This window comes from Homo sapiens, chromosome 3, assembly GCF_000001405.40.
Source record: "Homo sapiens chromosome 3, GRCh38.p14 Primary Assembly".
Taxonomy (NCBI): domain Eukaryota; kingdom Metazoa; phylum Chordata; class Mammalia; order Primates; family Hominidae; genus Homo; species Homo sapiens.
Genome location: NC_000003.12, coordinates 53844694 through 53858235, shown reverse-complemented (window position 1 = coordinate 53858235; position 13542 = coordinate 53844694). Strand labels below are relative to the sequence as shown.

The 13542-nt window shown below is 49.4% G+C and overlaps 2 protein-coding genes across 2 annotated transcripts in view, besides 5 other annotated features; one reads left to right on the top strand and one right to left on the bottom strand.

Annotated features, from left to right (window-relative positions):
* Positions 1-11668, bottom strand: part of IL17RB (interleukin 17 receptor B) — a 19227-nt gene extending 7559 nt beyond the window's left edge. The window contains exons 1-8 of the mRNA NM_018725.4: positions 11588-11668; positions 9548-9572; positions 8441-8581; positions 6110-6237; positions 5239-5365; positions 2895-2942; positions 1250-1392; positions 546-620 (exon numbers count right to left, since the gene is read on the bottom strand). Coding sequence (NP_061195.2) covers positions 546-620; positions 1250-1392; positions 2895-2942; positions 5239-5365; positions 6110-6237; positions 8441-8581; positions 9548-9572; positions 11588-11647 — 747 coding nt within the window. The 5' untranslated portion in view covers positions 11648-11668. The remainder of the gene's footprint in view (positions 1-545; positions 621-1249; positions 1393-2894; positions 2943-5238; positions 5366-6109; positions 6238-8440; positions 8582-9547; positions 9573-11587) is intronic.
* Positions 11620-11914: an enhancer, noted in NCBI's record as "tiled region #239; K562 Activating DNase unmatched - State 4:PromP". NCBI's record gives its function as "activates a minimal TATA promoter and a strong SV40 promoter by Sharpr-MPRA in K562 cells {active_cell/tissue: K562}" and the evidence as "EXISTENCE:reporter gene assay evidence [ECO:0000049][PMID:27701403]".
* Positions 11620-12269: a silencer, noted in NCBI's record as "silent region_14467". NCBI's record gives its function as "represses an Ori minimal core promoter by ATAC-STARR-seq in GM12878 lymphoblastoid cells {active_cell/tissue: GM12878}" and the evidence as "EXISTENCE:reporter gene assay evidence [ECO:0000049][PMID:35858748]".
* Positions 11620-12701: a biological region, named in NCBI's record as "Sharpr-MPRA regulatory region 239".
* CHDH (choline dehydrogenase) overlaps positions 11817-13542 on the top strand; it is a 34085-nt gene continuing 32359 nt past the window's right edge. The window contains exon 1 of the mRNA NM_018397.5: positions 11817-12153. The gene's annotated coding sequence lies outside the window, so the exon portion shown is untranslated. The remainder of the gene's footprint in view (positions 12154-13542) is intronic.
* Positions 11861-12701: an enhancer, noted in NCBI's record as "H3K27ac-H3K4me1 hESC enhancer chr3:53879562-53880402 (GRCh37/hg19 assembly coordinates)". NCBI's record gives its function as "activates a minimal SCP1, AML or CMV promoter by ChIP-STARR-seq in naive H9 embryonic stem cells {active_cell/tissue: H9 hESC(naive)}" and the evidence as "EXISTENCE:reporter gene assay evidence [ECO:0000049][PMID:30033119]".
* Positions 12702-13542: an enhancer, noted in NCBI's record as "H3K4me1 hESC enhancer chr3:53878721-53879561 (GRCh37/hg19 assembly coordinates)". NCBI's record gives its function as "activates a minimal SCP1, AML or CMV promoter by ChIP-STARR-seq in naive H9 embryonic stem cells {active_cell/tissue: H9 hESC(naive)}" and the evidence as "EXISTENCE:reporter gene assay evidence [ECO:0000049][PMID:30033119]".

Sequence of the window (13542 nt, the reverse complement as noted above, 5' to 3'; positions counted from 1 at the left end):
TGGAAGCTCCTTACTCTTTGGGGAGTGGCTGTGTCCCACTGGACCTCCTGTGTCCCCACCTCAAAAACTAGAGTTGAAAGAGACATACTGAGAGGTGAAGGAGCACCTACTGCTCCAACTTCCTGTGTTCCAGCTGGGTCCGCTGCGGCCCAGAGAGGACTGGCAGCCCCTCTCCAGAGTTCATACGCTGCCTGGAACTCAAACCTTCCCATTTCAAACCCTTTGCAGCTTCATCTTGCAGTTAAAGGCTTGCGGAAGTAAAATGGTACTGCTATCCCTGAGTGTCTGTGACAGAAAATGAAAATAAAAAGTGCTTTGGAAGGTCAGCAGCCATTAATACAAGCAAAAGGGACCACAACTGCCACGTCGGCCTCCTGACCTCAGCACGGTGGAGGCTGCAGCGAAAGAGCCCCCATGAACGCCACTTAACTGGTGTCTGCTGGCAGAAGTGCATTTGACAAGAGAGAACTCATCCTTAAAAGCAATGAATGATGGAACAGTCTTCTATGTCCCTTCCCTCCCCAGAGCAGCTCACTGAACTTTACCTGCACCGTAGCACCTTCACTATCCCCAGTCACTGGAATCACCACTGAAGCTCGCGTTTGTTTCTTCTGGTGTGGCTTAAGAGAGAGAGAGTCAAGAATTATGAGGTGCCAGGTGCACTGGCTCACCCCTGTAATCCCAACACTTTGGGAGGCCAAGGCAGGCAGATGGCTTGAGCCCAGTATTTTGAGACCAGCCTGGGCAACATGGCGAAACCGTCTCTACTAAAGATGAAAAAATTAGCTCGGCATGGTGGCACATGCCTGTAATCCCAGCTATCTGGGGAGGCTGAGGTGGGAGGATCACTTGAGCCCGGGAGGTGGAGGCTGCACTAAGCTGTGATTGTGCCACTGCATTCCAGCCTGGATGACAGAGTGAGACCCTGTGTCAACCTCCGCCCCCCAAAAATTATGAGGCACAGGAGTGAGCAGATTTCGAGGCTTCCAGCAAAGCAGCTTTGCTTCCCAAAAGGACTCCTTTCACTAGACCATGTGTAAAGAAGGGCTCATTTCCTGCTTCGGAGACTTCCTTCTTTCTATGGTTTGAGGTTCACAGTGACACCTCTCAGGATGCCCACAGGGACTTGTTTTTATCTGTTGAATTCATCAAAGTAGCCCAGCACGTTTGGACAACACTGTCCCCATTTTCCTTCAACACACTAAGGAAAGCTGGAGGACGAGGTGAAGGGGACGAAGAGAAAAAGTACCTCAAACACCTGAGAAAACCCGATGATAGTGCTGTGTTGGATAAGAGCCATGTATCTGTTTCCCAGGGGAGTGGTTGTGAAGTTCACTTCTACTGTCTCCTCATTCTTCTTACAAGCAGTGATGTTCGGATCCCACAGGCTTCCTGTGAGTTGAGAGAGAACCATGTAGATGAACTTGCTAACTCTTCCCTCATTTAAGTTCCCCACAGGGCTTTATGGAAACAAACCCAAGTTCTCAGGAACAATGTCCAAGAGATAGGGACGCTGCTACATAGTGAACTTTTTATCATTGTTTCCAAAGTCTCAAAGTACTTGCTGCCCAAGACAGTTTGGGGATCCGTACATCGCTGCTTTGCTAAAAACAGCTTCCCTGGGCTGAGTATGGTGGGAGGCACGGATTGGTTCTGCTACTCACTGCTGTTTTCAACCTCTCTTTTGAGTTAAGGGATAGGGTCAGTATTTTCTACTTCCCAGGATGGGGAGAAAGAGCTACAGGTTGGAAAACATGTCTAAGATTATAGAGCAAGTGAACTCACAATCAGGACTACAACCACTAGAATATTTTGTGTTCCAGGAGCTTCATCCATCAGACCATTCTGCCAGCTTCACTAGATGCAAAGAAAGAAGGAAATGGCTCGTAGCTTAGAGGATATACCCTGATAGGTCTGCTCTGGCAGAAAAAGTCAGTCGTTTCATTCATGTGACTTGCAAATAAGGACTGGACTGATTTCCAGGAACAACAATGTATAACAGCAGAAATTATCTTCTCCACCGAGGAGACCATTTGAGGCCCTGGCTCAGAACTGTCTTTAGGAGTTCAGGTTCAGGACTGACTTCAAGGCCCTCTGACCTCCTCACACCTGCAGTGTTCTCTGTACCCTTGGTGGGAAGCTCAGCGTCCAAATCTGCCTTCTAGCAAGGACAGCATGGACGGCTGTCTGAAAGGGTACCAGGGATGCCTTGTGCAGTGAAGGGTGCCTAAGAGTTCTGGGCTGATCCAAATACCACTAGCCTCATTAGCATTCCAACACTATATTACTCAGAAATTTACACAAACCCTTGGAAACTGGGCACTAGGGACTAATAATCCTAAAGGGGATTACTACAAAATTCAAGGGGTAAAATTCACTAGCCTGTGAAAAGTGATCCTCTTTGAGGACACAAATTGAGAGCGTAATTGTGGGCCAGTCCTTTAGCGAACTCACACTCCCACCTCGAATGTTTGCTAATCCAAACAGAAGGTTCTTAGGATCCCCATGGCCACAGGTGGGTGGTGCTAGCATCTGAGCAGGTGGAAGGGCTCGTAGGACTCCCATCAATCAGGAAGAGCCTTTGATTGGCACTGCTGAGCCATTTGGGCTAAAATGTTGTTAACCAAGTGGATGGGGGTGGTTCTTTGTGACTGTTGCTCCACTATATAAATGTACTGAGGGTCTACCCCTTTCTGGACAGGCTGCTGCACTCAGTGGGCAAAGTACTGGCTGGAGATCAGGAGCCATAGGTGCTTCTGCCACCACCATCGGGGGTGCTTGGATATTCAACTCTCCCCTAGGGCTCAGTTCTTCTGTGCAAAGATGAAGAGAGCTATGCTGCCTCAAGTTACAAGTTTCTTCAAATAATAAAAGCAAATGCCGTATTTACTTACCGGCCTTGACACACTTTTTTTTATATTTCATTATGTGGTCTAGGCAGCCTGGAAATTTGAATGAAAGTTTTTACATTTTAGAAAAAGGTATCTCTGCCCCACCCCCTTTGCCAAGTGCACACACACATACGCATACCACACCTGTAACAAATTGCCAAAACATTCCAGATGTAAGATGGCAAATTCAAATGGGGCTCTAATTTTTTTTTTTTTTTTTTTTTTTTTGAGCCGGAGTCTTGCTCTGTCGCCTAGGCTGGAGTGCAGTGGCGCAATCTCAGCTCACTGCTAGCTCTGCCACCCAGGTTCACGCCATTCTCCTGCCTCAGGCTCCTGAGTAGCTGGGACTACAGGCGCCCGCCACCACGCCCGGCTAATTTTTTGTGGGGCTCTAACATTTTACTGCTAAACAGAGAACATCTGCCCATTACGTGATAACCAGAGTCTAATTTAAATACAGCCTTTATCAAAACAGTATCTTTGATCCCTAAGAGAGGACTCGAAAACCATCCATCATTTGAAAAGGACATTTGGTAATATCTGTAGATGCTGCCCCTTCAAGGACATGAAGCCTAACACTCCCCTATCCTCACCCCAGGGTGGGGTAGAATTAGTGACTTGTTTCCAAAAACGAGAGTTGGGAAAAACAGTAGATTTACATGGAGAAGTCTGGCAGTCCCCACATTAATCTAGTGTTGATGGTGACCCCCAGCCTGGTGTCATGTGGGTGCCATGGACCCCTGATGGGATAAGAAGGGCCCGGCACCTCTGTGGTATGAATTCCCTGTCTAATCATGAGACAAACATCAGACAAACCCACACTGGGGGACATTCTACAGGATGCCTGGTCAGAACTCAAGACTGTCAACGTTCTGAAAAACAAAGACTAAGAAACTGTTACAGACCAGAGGAGAGACACACAGGGACTAAATGCAACTGGAACAGAAAGAGGACATTCATGAAAAAGCAGGTGAAGTCCAAATAAAGTCTGGAGTTTAGTTAACAGACACGTACTAATGTTGGTTTCTTAGTTTTGACAAATGTATCATGGTAATACAAGACGTTAATAGGAGAAGCTGGGTGAGAGGTATATGGAAACTGTACTATCTTTGCAACTTTTCTGTAAATCTAAAATTATTCCAAAATAAGGCTGGGTACGGTGGCTCACTCCTGTAATCCCAGCACTTTGGGAGGCCAAGGTAGGCAGATCACCCGAGGTTAGGAGTTTGAGACTAGCCTAGCCATCATAGTGAAACCCCGTCTCTACTAAAAATACAAAAATTAGCTGGGTGTGGTGGCTCATGACTGTAATCCTAGCTTCTTGGGAGGCTGAGGCAGGAGAATCACTTAAATCCAAGAGGCGGAGGTTGCAGTGAGCTGAGATGGTGCCACTGCACTCCAGCCAGGGCAACAAGAGCAAAACCCCGTCTAAAAAATAAATAAATAAATAAATAATAAAATAAAAGAATTCCAAAATAAAAAAGCTTATTTGAAAACAAAATGAGGTTTGCTCTCATCAAGAAAGTTGGAAACCACGTGTAGTAAATGGTGCAGCACCAAAAACACCCTGGACCACAATCTCCAAGACCAGCAGTGAATTGGAAATTACCGTTTGGCTTTGATGCCTTGCCTGTGACAGATGACAGGATGGTGGTATGGGATGGGTGACTCGGCTCAGATAGACCCTTCACACACACCATCCTGTCTCATCCTCATCACAGCCCTGTGTGTGACATTGCAGCTGTGGTACCAGAGAACTGGTCCTGTGTCACAAAGCTGGGGCAAGGGCCCAGCATCCAACTCAGGACCACCCTGCCTCTCATGGACAGCTTGGGGACAAGCCAACTGGAGTCTGTAGATTCTCAGAGGCCCAGCCATATGCAGCCCACTCTAGAAAGCTGAGATAGGAACGAACAAACATTTTGCATCAGTGATATAAAGAGTGGCTCAGGTGCATTGCTCTAGAAGGACCAAAGTGTGAATGTCAGCTTCACTTTTATGTGTGTATAACCCAGGGAAAGTGACTTAACCTCTCAGTTTCTTCATCTGTAAAATGCAGCTATCCCAACCTTGGGGTTGCTGAGATGCTTAAGTGAGATGATGCATATCAAGTATTCAGCACAGTGCCTGGCATACAGGAACAGACTTTTTCCTACATTTTACCTGACTTTATTCTCTCTGCTCTGTGGGTAAAGTATGGTTACTACTGTGTCCATGCTTTAGATAAGGGAACTGAGATTTAGCAAGGCCAAAAGCCTTATCCAGGGTTCCCTGGGCTCTCTCTGTGCATATCGCAAAGCAGGCATCCCAGCAAGACAAAGAATAATAAACAAATGAGGAAGTTTACCTGGTGAGGTGAAATTCACAGACATGGAAGGGCCATCTTCATTCATATTTGCATTAGGAATATTATGGGCCCCAATGAAATAGACTGTGTTCAGCTCTACAGGGAAGCCGATGTAGGAAAATGTCCACTGAAAGGCAAAGCAAGGAACTCTCAATTCCCAAAACACTGCAGTACAGAAACAGTATACCTTAGTGTGTTGCCCTTTTAGTTTGTATTTCATTACTCACTCTGTGAAAACTTAGGTCTCCAACCAATGTCTACTTAGGGAATGGGCACTAAACAATTTACAGAATCAGAGAAGTATAAAGTTTTAAAGCCAGGATATAATTTAAGTCCAATTCTCTTCCATTGGCTGGTAGGGAAAAACTGAGGCCCAGAGATGCTGACTTACAAAAGGCACAAAACAGAGAAGTAGCCGAAAATGGGATTTGAACCAAGGGATCTTGCTCTAAGCTCTGAGTCATAGCTATTTACCAGCCCGTGTGAGCAGCACATCATCCATGCTCCCCAAACAAAGGGCATAGCTTTCAGCAACAATTAGCCAAATACATAAAAGTGTCTATGCCCGGATACAGTGGCTCATACCTGTAATCCCAGCACTTTGGGAAGCTGAGGCAGGCAGATCGCTTGAGCACTGGAATTCAAGACCAGCAACACGGTGAAACCCCCCTCTACAAAAACTACAAAAATTAGCCAGGTCTGGTGGCTCATGCCTGTAGTCCCAGCTGCTTGGGAGGCTGAAGTAGAACGATCGCTTGAGCCCAGAAGATTGAGGTCGCAGTGAGCCATGATCGCACCACTGCACTCCAGCCTGGGTGACAGAACAAGATGCTATCTCAAAAAACAAAACAAAAAACAAAAAAGTGCTTACTTTACCACCAGAGGGTCTGGTCTGAGTCTGGAAGGCCTCTGTGTAATTGCACCTCACACAGCTGTAGGACTGGAAGTTGCTTTTGCCCGTCACACAAATCTTGGTGGCCTTCAACAAGCGGATGCTGGCTGCCGAGATAGGCAAGAGGACATTGGTTTATTTAGCACTTGCTGTGTGGCTGACTTGATGCTAGATGCTTTACTAGCATGCTTTATTTTATGTCTCGGTTCATATTCACAATAGTACTGAAAGGTAGGCACCACTGTCTCCAGTTTACAGATGGGGTTCGTGAGGCTTAGGAAGTTTCAGGGAGCTCTGCTTAAACTTAGAAAACTCATCAGCAAGTAGCAGATACGAATTCAGATTCCAAAGCCCAAGCTCCCTCCTCCTCATAGGTCAGCTTGAATTTCATAGGATGCCTGCAAAGGTGGCTATAGCTCTGCACTATTCTGGGTCTCTTTTAAGAGGAAGAGGCTGGCCTCAGGGAGACCCACAAAGACCCTCCAAGACTGTCATCACCAAACCACACCTGTTCCGATTGCACCTTTATCCATGCTGATTCTTCTCCCTGAAGGTCCTTTCCTCCCATTATCTACCTCTTCAAGTTTCACTCTTTTAAAGCCCAACTCACTCATGCACCACAGCCCATAACCACAGCTGACAAAGAGCTCACTCTGTGCCAGGTAAGGGCCCAAACCCTTATGGCCACATCTCACCTAAAGCAACCTCACCAGAGACCCTTTCCAGCTCCTCTCGCCCTATCCCACTCAGATGAAGCACAGCTCCCTTCTGGGACTCCCCTGACATTGTGCCTGTGTCTGCCTCCCCTACCCCTCTGAATCCTCCTGGGTGGAGACTGTAGGTGACTCCTCTCTCTGTGCCTGGCACTCATGGATTCTTGACCAGGTAGACTTTTTTCCGATCTGAATTTAGCAGATGGAAACCAAAAGGATGGGCATTAGGATCCCAGGAGTAGCTCACTGAAAGAACTCATATGGTGCCTTGCAGCACAATCTTGGGGAAATGCCAAAAGCTTCGTGACGTCATCTGGGAAGTGGAAAAGTAATCTATCTAAGCCAGTGCTTTCCCTAAACTGAAGTGGGGTGGGGAAAATCATCTCTCGCCTTACCTTATCTTCTTCCATGAAGTACATACACAGAAAAGTACACACATAAGTGTACCACTTGATGCATCGGGACACTCATGCAACCAGTATGCAGGTTAAGAAACTCCCTCAGGTGTGCTCCTCATACTTCCTTACAGTTATTCCTACCCCAGCAGGAACCACTACCCTGACTTTTATTTTATTTTATTTTATTTTATTTTGAGACAGTCTCTCTGTCACCCAGGCAGGAGTGCAATGGCACAGTCTCAACTCACTGCAACCTCCACCTCCTGGGTTCAAGTTATTCTCCTGCCTCAGCCTCCCAAGTAGCTGGGATTACAGGCATGTGCCACCATGCCTGGCTAATTTTTTGTATTTTTAGGAGAGATGGAGTTTCACCATGTTGGCCAGGCTGGTCTTGAACTCCTGACCTCAAGTAATCTACCCGCCTTGGCCTCCCAAAGTGCTGGGATTACAGGCATGCGCCACCACGCCTGGTCTTTTGCTTTTTTTTTTTTTTTTGAGACGGAGTTTCACTCTGTTGCCCAGGCTGCTGGAGTGCAGTGGTGCGATCACAGCTCACTGCAAGCTCCGCCTCCTGGGTTCAAGCGATTCTCGTGCCTCAGCCTCCCGAGTAGCTGGGATTACAGGTGTGCAACACCACATCTGGCTAATTTTTGTATTCTTAGTAGAGATGGGGTTTTGCCATGTTGGCCAGGCTGGTCTCGAACTCCTGGCCTCAAGTGATCCACCCACCTCGGCCTCCCAAAGTGCTGGGATTACAGGCGTTAGCCACCGCTCCTGGCTACTATCCTGACTTCTAAACACTAGATTGGTTTTGTTTGCTTGGCACTTTCTGTAAATGGGATCATATGGCATGTATGCCTGCAGGCATGCACACAGATATAAATGTACAAACTCTTTTGAATCTGCCTTATGTTTGTGACATTCATCCATATTGTTGTACGTAGTTACAGATCATTCATTCTTGTTGCTGTGACGGAATTTATCTGGTGATTCCTTTCTACTGTTGGGCATTTGAGTGCTTTCTAATGTTGCCTGTTGTAAGTAGTGCTACTGCGATCACCCTAGTATGTGGCTTTTGGTGCGTGTATGCATGTATTTCTGTTGGTTATGCGTAGAAGGGGAATTAATGGTTCATATAGTCTGCACATTTCTGATTTAGTAGACACTTTGGGCCTTATCTCTGATGGATGCAAACTTACCATCTGCCCGGAGTACCCAGCTTACATTCATCAAAATTGAATAGTCCCCTGTTGCAACACTAGTTGTAACAGGTTCTACTCGGAGGTCCCTCAAGTCTCCGGGGATTAGATCATGTTGTAGCATCCACTCTGGAGATGGCCCTGGGAAAAAGCAAGACTTCCATGACACTGTCTTTCCCAGCCCAGTCTGATGCCATGCCATCTCCTCTCAGTGACTCACACCAAACCTTCCCCCATTCACAATTCCTCACTTCTTTTTTTTTTAATTAAAAAAATGTTTTTTGTAGAGATGGGGTCTCACTCTGTTGCCTAAGATGATCTCAAACTCCTGGCCTCAAATGATCCTCCCACCTCAGCCTCCCAAAGTGCTTGGATTATAGGTATAAGCCACCACGCCTGACCCAATTCCTCAGTTCTTCCTGCTAAGGCCAAATGTTTCTTAGCGCTGGCTGATTTATAGCCCAGATAATTTTGATCTAACAGAAGTACTCTCAACCTCCTGGCTTTCACCTACAGAGCACGTGGGACCACTCCAGGTACCTGTGTATGTACACATGTATATATTTAGTGTATTTGACATGTTTATTAGAGTCAGGCCTGCCTTCCTCAGGCTTTGGCCCTGGATTCCAGCCAGCTGGCCCACACAGCCCCCACTTTCCCACCTCCTAACCTTTGCTGGTGCCATCTCTCCTCCAGCTCACTCTTCCTACCCACATTTTTTGGGCAGAAGCCTACCCATTCTTCAAATGCCACCATCTCAAACACCCGCTCTCCTATGAAACATTTGCTTCTCGGTCCCAACTCTAAGTGACCTTCCTTCCACGGCCTTGATCTCCCTCTGCAGAGTGGCAGGCATCACTTTCCACCTTGTATGGCAAGTCCCATCTTGACTGGCCAAGAGGCTAGCCTGTCTGAAACACGGCCTCATTCCCACAGAGCCCCAGAGTTCTGCTTCGAGCAGACAGAGACTTCATCTGCATCAGCCAATAAAGCAATGGGTCACCCTGTGTCTGGTCTTCGATGACCTATTGCCTATATTAGGCTTCCTAAAAGTCCAACTGTGCTTTCAATGTAAAGCCCCAAATACCCATTCTCTAATGCACCTACCAGTTTCAGAGCCACATTGAACGGTCTGTGGGAGAGAAAAAACCAAGCGTCACGTTGAAGCCGGCAAACCACAAGCTTTCCTTTGCCAAATTAGGCAGAACACCATTTTCCCCTTAAATGCATATACAAGTGACAAACTTTCAAAGAAAAGATGAACTGGTTCTGCTTCACAGCTTAGGGGGGAACTAAGCTGTCCCACTGTAGGCTATGACGGACCATGGATTAGCCATCAGTATACCTGATCCTCAAGCCAGTGCATAACCTCACTTGAAGACCACAGGTGGGTCTCCATCTGTCTCTGGATGTCATCCTTCCCTGCTGCAAGCAGGGGATGACTTGGGACCGATGTGAGGCCCCTTCACACTCTAATGTTTAACTCTAGGTTTTTAGGACGGCCTAGAGTATTTACTGGGCTACCCCAGGTTAAGGAGTAGCTATGCTAAGGAGATAAACAAAAGAAAGCTCTGAATGCAGTCCATGGTACTTTCCTCAGGTTCTTTAAAATGTTCCCCTTCTAACACAAAAGGACTCACTGAGCAATTCACGAAACCATAAGCAATTATTAGTGTTCAAGAAAGGCTGGTACTAAATCGTTTGAAGTTAGCTGCTCGTGTTTTTTCATAAGAAAAAATAATTTGTGCTTTGGTTCTGGAATAAAATACTGAACCTAAAATATTGGGGCTTTAGGCAGCAGCAAGCTCAAATGACAAGACTCAATGTGATACGTCCAGCAGCTCTGGAATATGCTGCTGAGCATCCACATTTCCAAACACCTTCTAAGATCTCCTTTTGATGGTTTGAATGATTTGAGTTTGGGCAAAATTGTCAATCATTTATTTGTCTTTTAAAAAATGAACTCTAAGGGATATCATCAGATTTTTTTTTCCTTTTTCTGAGACAGAGTCTCACTTTGTCACCCAGGCTGGAGTACAGTGGCGCAGATCTCGGCTCACTGCAACCTCTGGCTCCCGGGTTCAAGTGATTCTCCTGCCTCAGCCTCCGGAGTAGCTGGGATTACAGGCGCCTGCCACCATGCCCGGCTACTTTTTGTATTTTTAGTAGAGACGGGGTTTCACCATGTTAGCCAGGCTGTTCCCAAACTCCTGACCTCAGGCAATCCGGCCGCCTCAGCCTCCCAAAGTGCTGGGATTACAGGCGTGAGCCACCGAGCCCGGCCAGACTTGACTTTTTTTTTTTTTTTTTAACAAATGAGCCATCATACCAGGAGCTGAGTTCTTATCAAACGGCCGGTGAGAGGCCAAGCAACAACCCTAAATGCTACCAAGCTCAAATTGTTGGCCTTGCAGCAACTACAGCAAAAGGGATGAATTCTTCCCTTTAGTGCAAAGAGCCAAGAGGGCTTCTGAACTGACACAGAGGGGAAGGATAGGAGCTGAAGACATCAGGAAACAGTGAATGGGGTTTGTCCACCAGCAGGTGACTACGGAGCTTGATGCTATATGCTATTCTAAGAGGGCAGCGGTATCATTTCAAAGGTTATTTGGGGGATGAGCTATTTTCTCTTCAGTGACCCAGAAGATTCCCTCGATCATTCAGGGTACTGGGGAAGAAAGGCAACTGCCTTCACGAGTGAACATGGCAATCAATATGGCCAAAAAGGGAGGGGGTACTAATGGAGAAACAGTTCTTGTGCCCCAACAGGTGAGCAGACCCCAAGTAACAATAACTACGTGCCAGGCCCTTCGCCGCTAATTGCAGGCCATGTCGTTATACCTTAAGAGACCCTGGTGGGTTCGGTACTGCCCTTCGTTTTACCGTTCGGGACTTGGAACTTGGTGAGCATAAATGACAGAACCAACAGTACAGGGTGGCATCTGAGACCGGGTCTGTCTGATTCCCACGCCCCTGACTCAAGCAACCTGACGCCGATGTCCGGGGCTGCCCTGAGGGTGCAGGCATGCCCCTTGAGCCGGCAGTCCGCGCACGCCTTCGGGGCAGCCTGGACTGGCGGATCAGACGACGTCAGGATCTGGGCTCGAGGGCCGGGAGATGAGGGAAGAGGTGCTGGCGGGGGCTTACCGGCTCTCGGGGTACGGCGCTCCTGCACAGCGCGGCCAGGCTTAGCAGCACGAGCGACATCGCCGGGCCACTGCGCGGGATCCAGGCCACCCGCACGCTGCGCTTTTATCCCGGCGCCGCCGGGCCGCCCCTTCTCGGCTCCGCCTCTCGCAGCGCCGACCCATTCCCGCCACCCGAACAGAGGGCGGGCCCGCTGGCCCCCTCCCAGGCTGGGGCAGGTCGCAGCGCCCTCGCCTGCTGGGGCTCGGAGGGATGGGCCGTGTCCGAGCGCTGGCGGAGCACGGGCCGCCGCGGCGCGCGCCTACCCCCGCGCACACGTGCATGCAGTGAGCCAGGTGCATCAGCTGCACCCGCCCTCGGGCTTCGCGCGCCTCCGCTGGAGCCCAGCTAGCCTCGCGGCTCCGGGGCCGACCGGGTCGGAACTGCTGCGTCCCCATTCCGGACGCAGAGAGCGCGCGGGGCGCCGGCGCCGCCGGTTAAAGTGCCGCGGGGCAGGGGCCGGGCCGCGGCCACCCGCTCCTCCCGCTCCGGTCCCGACTGTCGGGCTCTCGGCCGAGTCGCCCCGGGTGAGTAGCCGCGGAGGCGCCCCGACCACCCCGCAGCAGCGCCGCCCGGCCGCTAGCCCGGAGAGGCCTGGGGGCCGGAGGTTTGGGGCCGGGCTGGACGCCGAGACCCGGGCCCGCTTTACACAATCGCCCCGCCGCGCGAAGCGAAACGGGTGGAACGCAGACTGCCGAAGCTCACTGACTCCTTTGAGGGAGCGAATTCTTTCAGCTACGCGGGGTTAGAGCGGTAGGAGTGCCCGCTGCCCGACCCCAGGCTTTCTGGTAAATGTCTGTTTCCACCAAGTGAGTTCGGACAGCAACACCTGGGGCTCCCAAAGCGGAAGCCGTCAGCACTGGCGATTTGGAGCTGCGGTTCTCAAGTTTCCCTGGCCCGGGATCTCTAGCGCCGCCTAAAATGAGATCCAGACGGCAGGTCCGGGTCAGGCCCGGGATCTGCATTTAACGAGCCTCCACCCACGCCCCCGTAATTCGTGGGTGGGTGGCCCAGGGACCATCCTTTGAGACACAGTGGGTTTGGGGGAAAGTTCACAAAAATCAGCTGGGCTAACAGTGGAGTCACAGAGGCTGGAACTGCTGCTTCAGCCCCCTCGGTTTGCAAACGACAGGGTTGTGGTGACCAACTCAGGGCCATTTAAACTTGTAGGCAGAATTAGCTCCATTCTACAGATGAGAAGACGGAGGCCTAGAGAGGGGTATGGAACTTAGGGGTGTGTTGTCAGCTGGTGAGAGGCTGTACTAAGTCAAGCAGCTGTTTTAGCTGAGGCCCTACTTGTGTGCCAGGCCTGGCCCACCTGCCAGCTTGATTAAGGCTTGCATGGACTGGGGATCAGCCAGGGGTTTGGGCTCTGGCATGCATACGTGTGGAGTTGCAGGTAGCATTTTCAGAGAATTGCTCTGTTTCCTGACCAAGGAACTCAGTTGAGGTTGTGGCCGCACCCCTGCCTGGGACTGGGCCACCCTGAGCCCCTCATTCCACCTCTCTGAGTTGCTTTGGGCCCTGTGGCCCTTGAGAACATTTTCAGCTCTAATAGTCATCTTCCTGTTCAGCAAATACCTGCTGGGTGCAAAGGTGAACCACACATGGGTGCTGGCTGATGGGTACTCCTGGAGTGAGGATGAGTGCAGTGAGAATTATTTTCAAGGACACAAGTACCCGCCTTGCTGCGGAAGCCCAGATGAAAACAGCCTCGTCTGCAAGCTCAAGATTGTGAACTTTGTCCCATGGTGCTGAGGAACAATGGTACAGGCTTAAATGGTCATCCATTTTTGGTTTTAGAAAGGCCACCTGGTTGGCTCTGCAGGGCAAAATAGAGGGCTAGTCCCTCTGAGACGAGCGAGCAGGCAGCCATTCACTAACATGCGTTCATTCCGTGAGTATCTGATTCTGTG